At 40.8% G+C, this 19,877-nt stretch overlaps 1 long non-coding RNA gene across 2 annotated transcripts in view, besides 2 other annotated features; it reads right to left on the minus strand.

The window, feature by feature from the left end:
• Positions 1-14,744: 14,744 nt before the first annotated feature.
• Positions 14,745-19,877, minus strand: part of LINC01622 (long intergenic non-protein coding RNA 1622) — a 140,330-nt gene continuing 135,197 nt past the window's right edge. For both annotated transcript variants that reach the window (NR_027116.2, NR_027115.3), the window contains 2 exons: positions 15,878-16,031; positions 14,745-15,071 (listed from right to left, as the gene is read on the minus strand). This is a non-coding gene — a long non-coding RNA (long intergenic non-protein coding RNA 1622). The remainder of the gene's footprint in view (positions 15,072-15,877; positions 16,032-19,877) is intronic.
• Positions 14,869-15,369: an enhancer, noted in NCBI's record as "H3K4me1 hESC enhancer chr6:961366-961866 (GRCh37/hg19 assembly coordinates)". NCBI's record gives its function as "activates a minimal SCP1, AML or CMV promoter by ChIP-STARR-seq in primed H9 embryonic stem cells {active_cell/tissue: H9 hESC(primed)}" and the evidence as "EXISTENCE:reporter gene assay evidence [ECO:0000049][PMID:30033119]".
• Positions 15,370-15,870: an enhancer, noted in NCBI's record as "H3K4me1 hESC enhancer chr6:961867-962367 (GRCh37/hg19 assembly coordinates)". NCBI's record gives its function as "activates a minimal SCP1, AML or CMV promoter by ChIP-STARR-seq in naive H9 embryonic stem cells {active_cell/tissue: H9 hESC(naive)}" and the evidence as "EXISTENCE:reporter gene assay evidence [ECO:0000049][PMID:30033119]".

The following is a 19,877-nucleotide window of genomic DNA, read 5'->3' on the forward strand; positions in this document are numbered from 1 at the left end:
CAATTTTAAATCTTCTAATAACCACATTAAAAAGGAAAAAGAAACAGTTGAAATTAATTTCAAGCCTATATTGCTTTAATGCAGCCTCTCTAAAACTTGATGATTTTAACATGTAATCAAAATAAACATATTAATAAAAGATTGTACATTCTTTTTTTTTTCATGATAAATCTTCAGAATCTGGCACATTTGACCTTTGCCGTGGATGTCAGTGAGGACCAGCTGTGTTTGCCTCTTAACAGCCACCCACGGCTGGTGGTAATGCGAATCTTCCCAGCTTCTTATTTTCATGATAGGATCCCTCAGCTTTTAAAGAGTGCTATTTTTCTGCATTTTACTTTTCAAACCAAATTCAAGGAAGAAAAGTAATGTTCTTATTAGAGAAATAAACAACACACTTTAATTTCAAGATTTGAGGAAGCTTTTCCTGGCTCCAGGCTATTAATAACAGTACGTTCTCAGGGTGCAGCATTTTTTACTTCAGTATCATCAGACGCTTCACTACACATTTGCTATTTTAGATTGCTGCATGAGATCATGGCAAACAAATGGAAAACAGTCTTGCTGCTTTCCAAAATCTAAGCCTTAAATAGGCACGGTAAGAAAATAGAAATTTTATTAAGTAATTGATAGTTTTTAAAGAACTGTAAATTAGGAAACCTGAAGTTTCATTTAAAACTTACTAAATGAACAGTTTTTTAAACTTGGAACACTCCTTATAATAGAAGGAGCACATTGATAAACTGCTGTTGGCATTCATTTATTCTTTTATTCATTCAGCGTTTCATTGTTGAGAAACTGTTCAAGGCACTAGAGATAAACCAGTGAATGCACGAATTCCTCCCTCATTTAGCTTAGGTACAGTGGAGTGGGGTGAGAAACAGCTCATAACAAACTAAATCACAGGAGTCTATGTCGTACATGATATGGATAAAAGGCAAGAAGGGCGATTAGGACATGCCAAGGATGGAATGGGGTTGCAATTCTGAATAAGGCATTCGAGGAAAAACTCATTGAGAAGGGGGCATTTCAGCACAAATTTGAAGAAAGTGAGGGGAAGGGCCATGTGGCTCACTGGGCCCATGTGCTGTGCTGACCCTGGGCTGGAGGGGTCCCTGGTGCGTGGACAGAGCAGGATGGAAGCCAGGGCCCAGGGCAGTGGGGAAGCCACCTTGCAGGTGGAAGCCCAGGAGGACCTTAGGAAGACATGCACACACAGCGGGTGTTGAAAGCCACAAGACCAGGGCAGGGCGCAAGGCAGTAAGTGTGGACTGAGAAGGAAGGACATCCAAAGACTGGCCCTGGGACGTCCAATATTTAGGGAAATGGGAAGATAAAGATTCAGCAAGCACCTGAGACAGCACAGCCAGGTGCTGGAAGACACCAGTAGGGTGTGGTGCCCCAGGAGCCCTGTGAAGGAATCATTTCCACAAAGCAGAGTTGGCAGCTGCCCGTCAGTACTCCTAACAGGTGAGTGACATGAGGGCTGCCGTCTGACCCCTAGGTGGCTCTGGGGGGACCTTGACCAAAGCCACTTTAGTGATGCAAAAGCTTGATTGATGTGAATTTCAGGATAATGGGAAGAGAGAGATTTGAAACTGAGTATAGAAAATTCTGGAGACATTTTGCTCCAAAGGAGAAGAGTAAGGAGCTGGTAGCTAGAGAGAGAATTGAGGGGACAACAATGAAAATTAATAGAAGAAACAAATGCACATTTGTATGTCCCAGGCAATGAAGCACTGGAAGTAAGGGACTATTGATGCAGGGAGAAAACGGTGATTTGCTGAAACAGTGTCCTCAAGCAGGTGAGAAAGGCAGGAATGGGCTAAGTGGAGCACAGGTGGTTCAGCTGTTCTGCAGCCTGCAGGGAAGGCAGAGAGCATGGCAGGCCCAGTGCTGGGCAGTGTGGACATTGTGTGGTGGACAAGTGTCAACTGCTCTTCTGAGCTCTTCTGTCTTCTTGGTGAAATAAGAAACAAGGTCATCATCTCTGCCCCAGGAAGGGAGAGGAACTATGGGAGGTTCTATGGGAATAGAAAGTATGGAATCATCATCTAGAAGAAAGGAAAGTGGATGGATGAGGGAAACATAGTGATGGCCCAGCAGCACCAAAGACCACTGGAAGTTTGTGGCCATGAATTCAAAGTGAGACCTGTCAGTATCATCTTGTGACCTCCCAGCACATTCAACTGCATGAGCACAAGTACAAAGCAGGTAGTGAACTGTGTTTAAACAGAATTGTGCTTTTTCCAGGAGAGGAGGAAGAAGGGGGAAGACATTGAAGTCTAATGTGATGGCTCCTAATTCTTACAATGCTGGAACCAGGGAATTCACACTGGGAGAGAACAGGAGGGAGGCCTGAGCGTGAGGAGGCATTGAGAAAGGAGGGAGGATCTCTTTTGTTCCTGTGAGGCTGGAAAATGATTGGAATGGTGGTGCTGGAGGGAATTAGGAAGACAGTCCTGGCTGGAGAGTGAATGCCTGAACTTGAGATTATGCAATAATTGATATGGTGATGTATGGGGCATAATTAGGAGTTAAGGGAGAGGGCAATGTCATTACATGAGAGAAAACCAAGGAACTGAGAGATCAGGAACATCTATGCGGTTGCTGATATCACAGAGAATCAGGACAGGAGTGGTGCTGAAGAAAGTAAGAGTGACCTGGGGCTCCCATCTTCAGGGAACTAGTGATGAGGCCTGAGTGTGCAGCTAATGATGTGAGACTCAACTTGATCATTGCTTGTTGGTTTGTTTTGTTCTGTTTATAGAAAAGAAGGAGGAGGGAGGAGAAATGGGAATGAGGAGCAGAGGGCACACATTCTCCTCCAGCCCCAGCAGTATGAGGGCATGGGAGACCACCCCTGGTAAGGCCTTGAAGGCAGTGCTGTCCTGTGGAAGGGACAAACTCCCCTTAGAGAAGGTGATGGGAGGGTTCAGCGAAGATTCAGAAATTGATTTTGCAAAGCAATGTAGTTTGTTTGCTTGTTTTGTTTTACATTTTGATGGTTTTTAGTATATGTAGAGAGTTGTGCAGCCATCACCCCAAAAAGACACCAGCACTCATTAGCAGTCACTCCTCCCACTGGCCCCCAGCCCTAGGCAACCATTAATCTACTTTTCAACACTGTGAAGTTATCAATTCTGGACATTTCATATACATGGAATTATACAATATGTGGCCTTTTGTGACTGGCTTCTTTCTCTTATGCTATATGCTTTTGAGCACAATTTCAGAACAACTATTACGTTCAATTATTTGTACCCTTGAATGCAACATTTTTTTGTTAGACGTAGAATGGTACAATGAAAGTGTGTATGCATGTGAATGAATTCTACTTAAACACTCACAAAAGTGTGATAGACACATGTGCATACACACACTTTTGCTGCACCACTGTTTCTAGTGGCAAAGAACTGCAAATAATTATCAGGGGAATGAATAAATAAATCATGGCCTAACTATACAAAGACAGCCTATGCCTTCGTTAAGGAGAATGAAGGATTTACATATGAGTACAGCATGATCAAAATTTCATATAAATTAATAATAATATGTCAGTGCATGCATAGAGAAGAAAGTAATTGGGAAGATAAATACAAATTGTTGACAGTTATTACTTTTGGGAGCTCAGATCATGAGGAATTTTCTTTTTCTCTGCTTGGGAGTTCTATAAATTTTGTAATTTGTATAAAATACGAGTAACTATTTCATGAGCAGAACAAAATAAAAATAAAAGCAACATGGTAAGAATTGCACATTGCTTACATAATTTGATTTGGTTTCCTGAGAGTTCATCCTTTATGAGATAATTCAATAGGAAAAAAATGTTTAACATAACATTATCAATGGTGGAGAAAATGTTTATGTAACTTTATCTATGGTGAAGAAAAATCAAAAGCTCAGGGAAATGGGGAATTATATTTGTGATACATCACTTGATGGAATAGTATGCAGCTATTAAAACGATTTTTGTGAATCCTGTAGAATTATGGAGAACTGCTTCTGAGACTACTTTGGAAAAACCCAGAACACACAACTGCATGCATAATTATTGCGACCACAAGGCATTCATAGAGATAGTCAAAGACTACAGTGAACTATAAAAAATGTTAATATTTTGCAGGGTGGAGCTGTCTCTTCTCAAAATAAAATTGGTAAGTTCCTTCTTACATTCACAGCCCTGAGTCTGGTGAATGACGGAACCATTTTATCAATGGCCTGTTGGATCTAATGAGATATCCAAGTTCTCATTTCAAATTTATTATGTCCCAAGCCCAGTTCTAGTATCTACAGCATCCCTCAAAAGTGAAAAGAATTATATGACTCCATCTTCCCAAACTACCACAAAGACTAAACCACAGAGGAAGTGTAAGAAAGTCTTAAGTTCTAATGTTTCCCAGCACAAAAATTTGCGTGCTTTTTTTCTAAAATATCAAATTATTTTGTAAAATGATGGTGCCTTCACTTTGCTGGTATCTTAAATTCATAATTAGGCTGCATTAACTTTTCTTCAAATTCTTCACTGAATTTAATGAATCATAATTGTCCCAGGCAACCAGACTTGAAAATTGAAAATATTTTCTCTATTCTTTCCTTTATTCCCTGTAGCCAAATAAGTCACTAAATCAGCTCTTTCCTCCTTTGACCTACCTCCTGGTGCTGTTCAGTGCCTTTATTCATGTGTCCACCATCCTAGGCTGTGCTCTCCTCTCAACCCCAGCTTGAGAGGTAAGTCTTCTCCACTTCTCCCCTTTCTCCCATCTCTGTGGGCTCCCATTTAACGTGCCTTCTCAAAACACTGTCTTTAACATCATACTCCCTTGCTCAAGAGCTTCCAGCAGCTTCCCTGGTGCCTGCTATTCAAGTCCAAAGTCCCTGCTCTCCAGTCTAGACCATCTTCAGAGCAGAACCAGTTTACTCTTTCAAGTTCCCTTGTCCTGCTCTGCAGCATAAGGATATAACTCTGCCCCAAGAAGTTCTCTCATGAGCTCTTAAAGAACAGGTCCCCTGCCTCTGAGCTCTGCTGAATGCTGCCTGGTACCTAGAGTGACTTCTTGCTTTCCAAATTCTGGCCATTAATTTGTCTCCCATTGCTTCTTTGCCTCTCTTTCTACCTCTCTGTAATTTATTGCACAAAATACTTATATTCTGTATTACATATTTTGCTACTGCATTCATTCATTTCTTCAACAAACATTTATTGAGCATGCCTTCAGCAGAAGAAGGACTTTTTAAGCATTTTGTTAGTTTTATCTTACATAGTCCTCTAACTTCTTAGTGTCCATATGTTGCCTTTTTAACTAGTCTATAAATTCTTGCAATAAATGTAAATTACGTAGTTTGCTACTAGCTGGATTACAAGAAGAGAATAAAACCCAAGAGGAAAGCAATTGCACATGAAATATCAAAGAAAAGCTACACTATCAAAGAATCCTTGGACATGTGACTATGAAATACAAGAAAGCTGTCAGCAAAAATAAATCACTTCCTTCGTCGTATTGCTTCAGTTCCTTCTAATGTAGCCTGGCGCCACCGATAATAAAAATAATCAGACTTTTTTAAGGTGGGGAGGGGAAACTTGATCCAAATTCGAATGCTAAATTTCCACAGATCATTTCATTTTATGACGTTTAGGCACTGGGATATTACCAATTGACTTAGCAAATAGTGAATGAGATGATTTGTCAATATATAGTCAGCAAATATTCACCAGTCTTGCAATCGATGTTGCTTAACTGCTATGAGAAGCCATCAGAGTAAGCCAGGGATCTGAGGGTGGTGGTGTTAACCGTCTCTGCTTTCCTGCAGTACAGATGCATGATGGCACATCTTTTGTTTCTTGTTTGTTTGACTCCAAAATGGAAACTTCTAATTATTTAATGAGAAATACCTTCCACAGCTATGTAGACAGGACCACTGTATTCTTCCCATCATCAGGCTATGTTGGAGTCTTGAAGCTGGTAGCTTTCTTCTGCAACAAAATCTGTACCTTTTAAAACTCAAGGAACCTCAGGGGAAAAATTAGACCCCTATTCAGTGAGCTGCTCAGTTTTCTTCTGCTGCCTTTTTCCTATGTTTGTTCTGCTGTCCTTCATTCTTTGCATTCCTCCCAAGTGTGTTTATTTTATTTTTCCTTCTCTTCCACCAATGACGTAACTAGATACATAATTATATCTCTCTCCATTTATTAAAAATTGTTTTTGTTCATAAAACTAATATACTTTTTGAAGAAGATATAGACAACATGTAAAATAAAAAGAAGAAAATGAAAATTGCCTGTAATGCCACTACCTTCTGACAATTTTTCTAAGCTTGCATAATATCTTATAATAGGTCAGCTCCATCATATCTCATAGTTATCATCATGAGGATTTTTTTCATGGTATTAAATATTCCTTAAACAACATGACTTTTTAGTTATGGTACAATGTTTTACTATATGGAACCACTTAACCATTCCTTTTTTTGACCATCTGCATAATTTTTTAAATTTAGTTATTAAAATGTTCAGGACAGTCTCTTTCCAAAGTAAAGTCCTAATCATATTTTTTATTGTTCCTTAGGATAAATTCTTAGAAGTGAAATATCTAGAAGACTCAATACATTTTGATAATTTTATTTCCAGAGACTTGTGTTAAATTTTTCCCTCTAGTAACTTCTGAGAGTTCCAGGATGATGTATTTTTCACTCCACTATGTTCCTTCCTAATATCAGGCAAAGCAACATGAATTCTCACAGAGTTATTTCTTTAGCATGTGTTCATTTGCTCCCATGCCTGCCACTCCTCTTCTGGCTGGTATAGCCAGGTTTATACCTCCTGCTACCAACTATTAATAAATCTCTTCTCTGCATGCCTGCACATACCATAGCTTCCATTTGCTCCTGAGAGAATCATCTTTTCCTTAAAACGTATTTTTTCCTTCCACCTTTCCTGCTCGGTCATTGGCACTGCCATTCTGAACCAGAATCTCAGAGCTGTCTTGGACAGCTACCTGCCCTCACTCATCTTCGGTGAGTCTGCCAGTGGAGCGCCTTGGCATCTTGCTTATTCTACTGTCTTCTCCCTAGCCTAGCTTGTCTGAACGCTTGCATTCCTAACTTGCTTTCCATCACAGTCTTTCCCCCTTCTTAGAATCCCCATGATATCTTTGATAGATGTGATTATGAAACTCTCCTGCTTTAACATTCATTGCTGAGAGAATTGTGGCCAGGTGCTTTAGCAAGGTGCAGTGATCTCGTCACACCACAGGTCAGCATAGGACTGTCATCTCCAGCCTTCCCCTCGTGTCCACTCAGCCACTCCAACCAAAGACCGTGTCCTTCTGTCCTGTCTTACTTGGCCCACTCCTTGCCTCTTGGGGGAATTTCCTTCCATTTTTCTCTCATCTTTCAATACTCAGTTCAAATGCCACTTCATTTCTACAGCTGACCTGACTGACTCCTTAGAGCGAAATAATTTTTGACCAAATTTTCCTTTTGCTGTGGTGATTGCATATATTTATTTGTTGATGTGATTATCTCCTCCTTTGAGCTCTTAGAGACCGGAAATGGTGAATTGAGAATCTTTGTGTCCCTAATGCCAACAAAAAGATGGTGCCACCCGCTTTCTCAGCTTGCAGTCTGTCTTCTTGGCACTTATCTAGGGACTCTTTTGTTGCTTTCTGTCCACGCTGTTCTTTTCGCTAGTTCTTATCACCAATTGCAGGAAGGTTTCAGGTTTCATTGTGTGCATTGATTGATGGTATTCCTAAACTACCCATGAGATTTAATTTAATCTGTAGCAGATTATGTAGATGATCTTAAAAATTATATTGGATCCATTTCTAATCTGTTGCTTTGCAGTAGGAAATATGCAGAAAATATGAACCTTCAATGTGTTCCATCCAGAGGATCCCAGAACAGGAACAACCAACTGAGGTTGCTTCATGGTTAGTTGGTTGGATATTTTGTGTCTCCCTTAAAAATAGTCAACACTCAAAAACTAGCAATTAAGTCAAAGAGACCTCTGAAGAAAGTGGAAGGATTTAGAGAGCAAAAGATGGTGCCTTCTAGAACAATAAAGATTACAAATTGATCCACTGAATAGTTTCCATCACACTGGTAGGATGGTAAGCGGTTTTTAAAATTTCCAACCATTAGTCATAGATTTGTTGATTGTGGTCTTGCTCTGGTACTTGAACTTGTTTTGCAAATGCTGACCTTAACAGCTTTTCTTTTCTTCTCTTTTTGATCATAACCATAAGTGTTCTAGAATGAATAAGCTAGTACAAAATCATTCCATTGATGATTTGACAGGAAAACCAGCTTTAAAAAGTATATTTTTAGCCAGAATATGTTTTTCTCTTATCACTAGTTGCAGGAAGGTTTCAGTTTTCCTTGTGTGCTTTAATGTGCAGAACTGGTAAGGTTTTTATCAACGTTAATCCTGGTGAACCGATCAATGACTTCCTGGATACTAATATCCTTTTTTAGATTAATACTCTGAATGTATGAACCTGTTTTATCAGATAACTTAAACAATCAATCTCTTTGTGTGTTAATTGCTATTGAGGGTTAATGTTATTTATAAAATGAAATCAATATAATCTCTATTGCTCATTAACTGAGATGTTCTGGGCTCAATTCTGTTTTATTTTCCAATTAGGTTCTATTATTTTTCCTTATTGGCCCTTGAAAACTAGCTGTGGAAACAAACTTAATGGTTCTGAAAATGTCAGCGTCAACAACATGCCCTAATGGAAAACCCCATAATATATGAATATAAAAAAGGAATGCATTTAATTATTGGAAATTGCAACATAGTTTATTATTATACATTTATCTCTTATTCTCATTTTTTAAAGGGCATGACTTCAGATCTATTAGTGAGATAAAAGCTTTCTCTCAGTAGTTTATTTCATTCTCAGTGGATAAAACCAACAGCCTCATGGTGCTCATGGTGCTGTAGAAAGGCAGCCCCCCAGCAGTGGGAAGGTCCGCTCCTTAAAGCCCTCCCTTCTTTAAGCCGCCTGGACAGCGTCTGCTTTAGTTCCTGCTTGGTGCATCCCTTTGGGCTATGTGGTGGGCTGTGGAATGGCCCCCGGGGTGCCCGCATCCTACTCCCTGGAATCTGTGGCTATGTCCCTTTACGAGGCAAAGGAGACTTTGCAGATGTGATTTAGTTAAATGTACTGAGGTGGGGGGTGATCTTGGATTATCTGGGTGGGGCCCATGTAATTACAGGGTCCTTGTGAGAGGAAGGCAGGAAGGCCAGAGAGAGAAGGAGACGTGACAGAGAAAGCCGACTGAAGCAGGTGACAGGACAGTGTGTCCAAGGAGTGTGGGCAGCCCTGGAGTCCGGGAAAGGCAGGGGCAATGATCCTCCAGAGGAGTGTCCAGCATGAGCCAGCTATGCCTACACCTGGGTCTTAAGCCAGTCAGACCCATTTTGGACATCCTGCCTCCAGGACTGTTGGGCAGTAGATCTATGATGCCTGAAGCCGCCTGGTCTGTAGTGATTTTCTGCAGAGGCAACAGGAAGCCAACACAGGGCCAGGGGGCTCTGGGGGGAGTGTGGCTCTGGGCTGAGCACTGGAGCTGGGCAAGGAAGAAACTCCTGGACATTAAGGAGCTGCCCCTGGGGTGCCTTGGAAGGCATACTCACCTGGGAAGGACTAGGGGTTTCCTTGTAAGGGCGCTTTTAGTAACCCAACTCACAGCTTCTGAAGCTCAGGCCTGAGGAGCCCTGTCTAGGTCTGCACCCACTGAACATATCTGGAGCTTGCCTTTTCTTAAGGTCCTCCTGAAAAGGCTTCCATTTATAATAGGCAAATAGGTTGGAATTTTAGAACTGGGTTTACCTGGTCTCCAGCTATGTTTGCTTGGTCTTTTCCAGGAATATGTTTTAGCCTTTAGCACAATTTTAAACAAGTAGATAGAAATGAAGAAGTCTGACTTTGTGAAGACTTTTCTACCTGCCCACGATTTTTACCTTTCTCAGGTTAATAGCTTTGTTTTTGTCTCTAGGCCAATAAAATTCATCTTTTTGAGGAAGAGGAGCACCTATTACTCCATCCGGCAGTCACTGTGTGAAGTTGACAGATAGTCGAGGTGTTTCTGTGTGTGCACTAAGGCTTCTCCACCAAAAAGTCCTCAGGGAGAAAACTTTCTGGATCATTTTATCAAAAAGATAATCAAGGCTGGGCACGGTGGCTCACGCCTGTAATCCTAGCACTGTGGGAGGCAGAGGTGGGCAGATCATGAGGTCAAGAGATCGAGACCATCCTGGCCAATATGGTGAAACCCTGTCTCTACTAAAAATACAAACATTAGCTGGACCTGGTGGTGCACGCCTGTAGTCCCAGCTACTCGGAAGACCGAGGCAGGAGAATCGCTTGAACCCGAGATGTGGAGGTTGCAGTGAGCCGAGATCACATCACTGCACTCCAGCCTGGTGACAGAGCGATACTCTGTCTAAAAAAAAAAGATAATCAAAATACAGCAAGGTTTAGCCCTCATGAGCAGGGTAAAATGGTGGCCAAGGCTGGTGTTTAGCTCATGCCCCTCTGTGCCATAGCCAGTGGTCTTTCTTGGTGGAAGAGTCAGTGTTGTGAAGAGGGACTGCCTCCAGCCTCAGCTGGGCTGTCTCTTCCCAGCACCACCATAGGGTCATGTTTCCATCTGTGGGCTTGTTACCATATTAAATAGACGTAGAGTGCTCAATGTGTGTGTGCAAATCCTGGCTGCACCATGAACCAGGCGTGAGACCTTAGATGGGTTGCCTAAACTTTCTAAGGAACTCAAGCAATAGGAACTCAAAAATGACAGGTATTGCTATCATTTTGGCAAGCTACAGATTCATTCAGACATTTAGAAAAAAATTAAGTTGAAGCCTTCAATTGCCAGAAAATAGCTCACAAAAAGATGCTTGTTAGTTATATGTCTGACATTGTAATAAACCTTTTCTAAGTTTTCCCAAGAACAGTTGGTTCTGTTGCTACACCCAGCTCACAGCTCTAAGAGGCTTAGAAGGGTCAGGTGATTTATCCAAAGTCACACACCTAGTTGGTGGCACAGCCAAGAATCGAATGCAGGCTGCAAGACTCTTGCACGAATGCTTTGCCTACTTCCCTATACCGCATAGAGCAGGAACAGCATCTCATTATAGTAGACACTGACTCAATTTGTTAGTTTTACAAATACGAAGCAGTTGGCACGAGAAGATCCCGTGTGTTGGTGACATGTATCTTCCTAACCAAACCCTGCCTGAAAACTGGTTTCATGTCTTCCTCCAAGGGAATACATAATTGTAAGTGTCAATAAACTGCACACCTTTCTTAAGACAAATCCACTGCTGTATTTTTCAAATCAATCGAAGAAAGAAAGTGGAAGGAGGGCAGGTGCAGTTCTTTAGTCACTGCTGCATTTAACCTGCCCCCTTCAGCCTATCCTGTCACCTTTTTTTTTTTTTTATACAAAAGACAACTGCTGTCTTGTGCTTCCGTGGTCATTGGGCTGGAGGAATTGCACAGAAGGTGCGGGGCTGAGAAAGAGAGGCCCTCGTTGCTGTCCTGTTTGAATGGCAGGCTCAGCGGAGTGCAAATTCGATGCCCACCATAGCCCCTGTCCTTAGGAAATACCAACTCGCTTTCATGTCATGGTCCCTAGAAATAAGTGCCTGCTTTCCAAATAACTGAAGTATCAGGAAATATCTGCATATGTTCTCCCCAGGCTTCCTTTGAGACATTAACATACGATTGTATGAAATACCACAGACAGGACATGGGAACTGCATCATGCTCCCTGGAACCTCTATACACTGGGCAAACTTAGCTAACAAGAACAATAAATTAGGTATAGATGCTGACAAAATCAATTGTTCTGACTGAATTTTTCAGGTTGCTTTGACTTTGTCTTTTGGTAAATAGCTTAGTGTGTACTTTTTTTTTAGTATAAAAATGAAAACAACTTTTTAAAGCTTATTGGACCTATGAATTAATTAATAATAAATGATGACTTTGTACCAGGCAGTATGTTCGATGTGTTGTGTATGTCATCTCATTTAATCATTCCGACTACTCCATGACATAGACATTACTTCTATTTTTGGATTGGAAAGCTCAGGGTCAGGTCACACTGAAGCTGAAAGTTATGCAATTGGTAAATAACAGAGGTGGGATTTGAACCTGAGTCGTTACAGTGCCTCTTGCCAATGAGTCGTTTTGTTTTCTGAAATCTCAAGGGTTGGGGTTTCTGAGCCCAAACCCATAATTTCTTTTGTTTACTTGCTCTTTGGAATGCCAGTGGGATGCATCATTCATTGGATTTTTTTCTTTTAGATCCAGTGATCCCTAAAAGATAAGAATTTGAAATGCACTCAAGTGCCCCAAGAGACGCAACCACTCTGCTCATACTACACACAGCCTACGACCTTTAATCACACGTGCGATGGATTCAGGACCCATTTTCAGAGCTTCATCTCAAAGACCTTCTATGGGAAACAGATGGGTTGGATGAGTAAGGGCTGAGTCAGCCTCACAGAGGCTGAATCTTTGGTTCCAAGGAGTCTAAAACCCACTAAGCCATCCCCTCTGGTGAAGAGATTATACGCCAGATGGGAGCAAAACTTGCCCTTTTCTGATCCAGAGGCCGAAGTGTTCCTCATTAGAACACTGCTGTGCTTAATGGAGGCCTAAAAATCAAATCCTTCCAATATGCTATTTAATATGGCTAAGCACAAGCAAGGGGCAAGCTTGCCCAACTCTTTTCCGAAGATCAAGTTTTTCTCATGTATAATTCAGTTTTTATCATAGTCTTTAGTTTTTGTCCATGTTAGTATTACGGTGTCTAGCATTTCTCAAGCCTGTATTTTAAGACACATATCGGAAGAATCTTACTGATATTTACAGTTTAGAAATGACTTTCCACTAAGTTGTAGCTATCTAGAAAATAAATCAAATTGAAGCTTTAAAAGAATATTGCATACAAATCTTTCTGATCAGCTGCTTCCCTGTATAGCCATCTATTTTTGTATAAAAGACACGTGACAGCAAATATTATCTCCAATGAATTATTTCCATGATTAGAACTCCAATACTATGTTGTATTTCCAAATATGGTCATGTTCTGAAGTAGTAATTAAATAATAAGTCTAAAGGATATTTAATCATATCAGTCTTTTAAAATCTACTCTGTTTTCTCACAATGAATTTTTAAAAAGTGAATCAATAGTTGTACTAGTGCTATATATTTGTATGTGTTTCTGAGCGCAGATAGTTGTTCTAGGGTTAATTTATCAAATATGGCAGCTACTTAGCAATATAGCATTATGGTAACTATTGAGCACTTTACGTGTTGTTAGTCTAAATTGAGATGTGGTGTAAGTGTAAAACATACTAGATTTTGAATATAAAACATGCCAATATTTTAAAATTCATTGCCTGCTTAAATGGTAATATTTTGGATATATTAAGTTAAATAAAATGTATTGTTTAAATAACTTCTGTTTTTTTCTTTTGAAAAATGTGGCTGCTGGAAATTTTAAAATTACACATATGATGAGCATTTTTGCTTTTGTTCTATTTCTATTAAATAATGCTAATCTAGAGTCTCTAAGCAAATAAAATAAATAGACCTTTCTGGTTTTTCAGCTATCTGAAAAATCAGAGTACTTCTTTTAACCCAGTTTGACTCTCTAGTTCAGCACAACCATCACTTGCTATATTGTACCTAGTGACAAAAGCAGTTAATTTACCTCCCGAATATGCTCTTTTACAAGGAGGCAGTGACTTTATTTGGAAAAATTTGGCTTAATAAGCTTTAATTGATGATAATATTAATAAACAAAAGAAGGATCAATTCACAATTACAGTTTATAAATAATAAGTAGTAGAAGACTCTGAGAATGTATTTATACATAAATTCATATGTACCATAATATATGCTGGATGTAACTTAATACCATACCACGATAATATAAAACTACATGATTATGTATGTGTCTTGGTGCTTGCCTTCTTAGTTACCGGTAAATTGGCAGAGGTTTAAAATATAAAATTAGCTTCTTAACAGCTAGGCATAATTAGTTTTGAAATTCTTTTATCAAATCATTAAAACATGAACACACAATGACTCACAAAAATAATTCAGTCTTGTTTGTTTATATGCTGGTCGGCATCTCTTTTATTCATCCGTTTCCCAGCTTGGCCTTCAACAGCAAGTGTTCCTTGAACCAAAGAGAAGCTGGTTCTTTAATTCCAACAACTCCCTCTGACAGGATTATCTAAGTGTTGCTCTGCCCATCGGGATCCCTGGAGGGCCAACTTAGTGTGTTTGCGTGGCCTTGTCATTTACACAGGATGCTGTTTTTGTTCTAACGCTAATCGCTAATCGTTTGTTTTCAGGCTTGTGCAGACCGACAAGTAATCTTGCCGGTGACTTTCGTTCTATTCTTTTTGAGTTTTGCCATCGTCATTTATCTCTACCCTTACACAATGATCTTCCTTAACTTCTCCTTCATTAAAGACAAATGTGCAAGGGGGTTTTGTGTCCTCCCAGACAGCATGAAATCCAACCAGAAGAAGAGGGGAAAGGTAGAGACCAGTTTAGTAAACATGATTAGTTAAATAATCAATATCAAGTGTGAAACATCCAGCGGTGGTGTGTTACAGAGTGGTCTAATGAAATGACATGCTTTAGTGATGAAAACAACCATACATGCTCCATTGAAGAGTAGCTATTTTCTTTACAGACTAGAAACATTATGGCAATGAATTCGGTTTATTTACAAACTTAGATTTTTTTTTTTTTGGCTCATTAAAAAAGTCATGTTTGAAGTAGCAGGAATATTGTACATGTGGTTTATAAGCCAAAGTGGTTGCCTAAGAGGATGCAGTGTTTTTAAGGTCAGCACGATTTAGCTGACCAGGTTGTATTTCGCTCTGTTTCCATTGAAAAGAGGCAGCCACAGTTACATGACTTCTGTAGATACAGAATCAATGATGACAGTGTTCTAAGAAGGCCATTGGCCTGGTGTCAAGCCCTTTGGAAGTGTTCCACTGGCCTGTAGCCCCACAAGTTTCGTGGAAATCCTGCAGCTCAAGGAAGGGCATTTGGATTCATTTTGGGAAGGAAAAAGTAACAACTTTTACTGAGTGATCTCTGCAAGGGTTTGTCCTCCTCTTGCCCCCATCAGGTTGGACATGTAAGGCTTGGAGCTCTGGGCTTTAACTCTCTCACCTGGCTGGGGATCTCCCCTTTCTCTCCCTCCCCTGTTTGCCTCGTCCAGCTTGCAGGACCCTTTGTACCTCCCCTGGGAGGAGCTGCCTATGGAGCTGGACTGGGCAGGAAGGGAAAGTACCTGCACCTTTGCAGGCCCACAGCAGGCCTGGTAGCAGGGACCACAGCGCAGGCTCTGCAACTCCCTGACCTAGAATCAGAGTCCCCGGGCCAGGAGCCACATGGACCGTGGCATTAATGCCTGGACTTTCCAAGGAACTTCTTTCACAGGCTGGCAGGAGTGCTCCAGACACAAATGGACATGCCAGCTGCGAGTATCCGGGTTGGCATGGTTTATTTGGGGAGGGAGAGGCTTAGGAGACATGCTGTGATATTCAGCTCTGACACGTTTCCTGGCGTTGCCTGACTTTTCTTTGTCCCTTTTCAAAATCTTTGCTGCACGTATTTGGAGTCCCAGCCAGCACACCACGTACCCACCTTCTTCCCCAGGCCATCCCTCTCCTATGCCTCCACTTTCAGACATGACACCCTCACTTTTCACTTTCACCCCAGGGTTAGCTCTGACCCCTTCCTTGTTTTACCTCCCCATCTTCACATCTAATCAATTGCTGCAGCTTGCAGATTTTCTTTTTTTCTGTTTTCTCAGGCCACCACTCACCTGGAACCAGGCCCGCCTTGTGCCAGTTTTGGAATTTCATTGCCGCGTAGCTACCGTATTGGGCAAATTAGCACCAGATCGACCATCTGCTCTCTAAAGTAGACACACACATGACATCACCGTTGCAGTTATCGAGTCATTTTCCTAAAATTCACTGTGGGAAGGACAAGCAGAGTGAACTGAGGGAGACTGATAGGACTACATCTATTTTAAATATATCCTTTAATTAGTACTTCAGAACACGGCCTCCTCTCATCTCCCTACCTTCCTGCAGGTGCATGCTTCCTTCATCAGACTGGCCTCCCCACACGCCATCGACTGCATCATACCACGGTGCGTGAGCATTGATTTCCTACTGGATAGGCTCCAGTCTGACATTCACGATTCTCCACTGCAGGGGTTCAGTCCTAGCTCTTCCATCTCCCCTGGTGAAGCCAGCACCCCAAACACTCATTCCACAGTTCCTCCCACACCATGCCCCCTAGTGAAATGCCTGCTCCCTGATTTCTCCCCACAGCTCCTTCGTGAGCCGTTGAAGTCTAACTTTCCCATGAAGCTTCTCGGTTGATTTCAGCCGTCAATGATCTCTTCTTATTCTCAACTCATGGCTCATAGTGATTAAACCCCTCCTTGGCTAATAATTAGCTACCTCTTACATTTCTGTCTTGAGAAATCTCACTATTTCATACACATATTGTTCATTTACTTTTTACCTATGTGCATGTTTCTTCCTGACAAGGTTATGCATTCTAGAAGAATTCTTTGAGGGTCACAGATTCAGGGTCTTTTGTTTCAAATAGTCAAGGCTCTCCCCCTCTGAGCACTTACTTGGCATTCCCTCTTATGCTCTTGCTTGTGATACTTAATTTGTTTTGTTTCTTCTTTGGACACCAATGAGAGTTTGTTTAATAAACAGATTATTTGCGTAATATTCCAGTAAAGTAGTAAAATTTCTTCTAGTGTTTTGTTTTCTGTGTAAAAGGTTTTATTTAAATTTATTTTTCATTAGCTGTTTGTTTTTGCTCCATTATTCCAACTGCTTTCAAAACAGAGTGCATCCCATTAATGGGAAGGGTACGATGTTCCTGAGCATCCTGAAGCAATTCTGTTTGTAATCCTGGGAGTAGTAACTGGGAAAGGCGGAATGTTCTATGGACACAGAGAGGAGGAGGAGAAGATGGAAAAGGAGAGAGGAAGACTGGCACCTAGGATGGAGAAGAGAAGGGCCAGTTTTGAACAGCAAGGCAGCCCTCGGGGACAGAAATGCCACATGTGGGTTTGACTGTTTAATGTGAAGTGTGTGCCTCACTTCCATCTTCACATCAAGAATCTTCAATAAAGCTCACACTGGTTCCTGACGATCTTATAAGAATGGGCTATCTAGGGGAATTCGAAGGGATGTTGACTTTCGCATCTGGGTCAACAAAGTGCAGAGGCTAGGCAGGCTCGTCCTGGCCCCTGGGACTCATCTAAGGCCTCTCAGTGTCGAAAGCCTCCAGAGAGCCCTCTCGTCTTCAGATGAGTGACGCAAAATCAACTCACATTTATATGACTCTTCACAACTTACAAAGGAACGTCATCCTAACGGAAACTCTGTGTGGCAAGTGGGGTGGATTTTGCTAATTCCACATTACAAAGTTAAACACAGAGATTCAGAAAAGTTATGTCATATGCCAGTAAGCAAAGAATTCAAAGCCAAGGTCTGCTCTTTTAAAACAACAAACAAACAAACAAGCAAAAAAAACTAGGATCGTCTAAGTAGCATCCATTCTTCCTCCTTCTTCTCCCCGTGCTAGCTGGGGTGTGCCTGCAGACTTGCTTCTCTGGAATTCATAGCATTACTCTGTGTTTGTTGTCAGTCTGCTTTCAGAAGAATAATTGCCCTGCTTTTCTCTTACATGTGAACTTTTACCTTAATGCTTAAAATGTTTGGCAATCTTGTCAACCTCTAGGTTTCAGGATACATGTCATCGGAATCTGAATTGTACATCCAGAATTATCCACACATGGTAGTTCACATTCTCCCTCTTGTTAAGTCCTGTTCTATGGTCTCTCATTACTTTGTCATTTTTCACCATTATTTTTATCTTTCTCATCAAATACACATTTTATAAACAATTGTGATTTATTATTATTATTTGCTTTTTGAATTCAGTTCCGCTGTACTGGTTTATGAGTTGTTACTTTTCCTCTGTGACTTTCCTGGACGTTATTTGTCCAGTGCTCTCATGCTCACAAGCCCTTCTGGATCATGCGTCTATGATTCCCAGCATCTGTTTCTAGCTCCACCTTGAAATGCATTATTCAATGAAGATTTTTTAAATTTTTTTCTTCACATGATTTAATTCTTTGGCTAATCACTGTGATTAATCTTTTGGTTGAAAATTTCCAGTTGTCTTTTTAAATGGAAATTATTATTTCTCTCTTAATTTTTCCTCTAGTATGTTAGAGAGGCTCAGGAAATGGATTCTTAGTTATTTTATACCCTCTCACTGAGTAAAATTAATGTGTTTTAAAATTAATGCCATTAAGAATCAATTGTTATTTGTAGTAGGGAAAATGTGTAAGAACCAAAATGCCCAACTTCTAAGGGAGCTGTTAAATAAATTACTCAAGTCCTCTGAGACAGAGCATGATTTATAAATATAAAAAATTGGAAAGAGTTTAAAAGATAATTGTAAAATTAAATGCAATATAGCCATAAAACCATGTTTTCAAAGAATAGGTTTAATAAAAGTGCCCAAGGTACAATATTGAATGAAAAGATTTCAGGACACAAAAATATACATGCAATTTGATTCCAAGTTCCTTCTATTCTTAATAAATGTGATTTAGTATGAAACAAACTACTTCTCATTTTAGATGTATGCTTATTTTGCTTAAAATGAGAATTGCAGTTTCATTGTATTCTTCTGCTTTTAATTTTTAGTATAACAACATAAATGGCACCTATTTTATTGCATTTATTCCAACGCAGAGAAGTATATAGAGAAGAGATGCTGTCTGTGTTCTCCTGGAGTACATGCCCTAAGCACACAGAGAGCAGGTTAGGCATGGAGGGAGAGGAGGGTAATCTGGGTGAGTGATCCACTCATGCTATAAGGGCCCTGGCTCCCCCAGACTCATCTCCCAGTTAACATTTCACTGGTGAGCAGGTGTGCGATCCCAGTAGAAACAGGGAAGGCATTGAGTTAAAATGAGGTGTTCTAATAAGAACTTAATTCCACAGACCCTTTGGTTATGAAGTGCTTCAGAGAAAGGTGTGGAAGGCTTAAGTAGAGATTTGAAAGACTTCTTGCACTTAGTTTCTACCACAGAGAATTTTGAACAATGAAGCCAATGAAACAGAAACAGATGGCTCAAATTTTCTTTGAAATGTAGACAGATTGAAGAGGAAGAAATTTGGCAAAAATACATTTGGGATATGGCCAAACTGAAAACATTTGAGAAATGGTATGAAACACTTTTGGAAAAGCATGAAGGTGCCTGAAACACTGACACTAAGTGTAATGTGATGGGGACACATGAAGAAATGGAGCTTGTACAGACAAGGCCACGCGTTCTGGTCAACCATGGCCACCATGGCTTCATTCTGAGGGAGGGCAGACACTGACGGCTGGTGGTTCCACCTCAGCGACTGGAACCAGCTGCGTGACTGAAACACTCTGTGAGACTGTAACTACCTGTAAGACTGATGCTACCTGTGTGTCTGAAACACTCTGTGAGACTGTAACTACCTATGTGACTGAACCCTGTGAGACCAAAACACCCTGTGAGACAGCAACTACCTGTGTGGGTGAGAGACTCTGTGAAACTGTAACTACCCATGCAGCTGAAGTACCCTGTGAGGCTGTAACTACCCGTGTGGCGGAAACATCCTGCAAGACTGTAGCTACCTGTGTGGCTGAAATGCCCTGTGAGATTGTAACTACCTGTGTGACTAAACAACCCTGTGAGACTGTAACTACCTGTGTGACTGAACAACCTGTGAGACTGTAAC

This window comes from Homo sapiens, chromosome 6 (assembly GCF_000001405.40).
Source record: "Homo sapiens chromosome 6, GRCh38.p14 Primary Assembly".
Classification (NCBI taxonomy): Eukaryota; Metazoa; Chordata; class Mammalia; order Primates; family Hominidae; genus Homo; species Homo sapiens.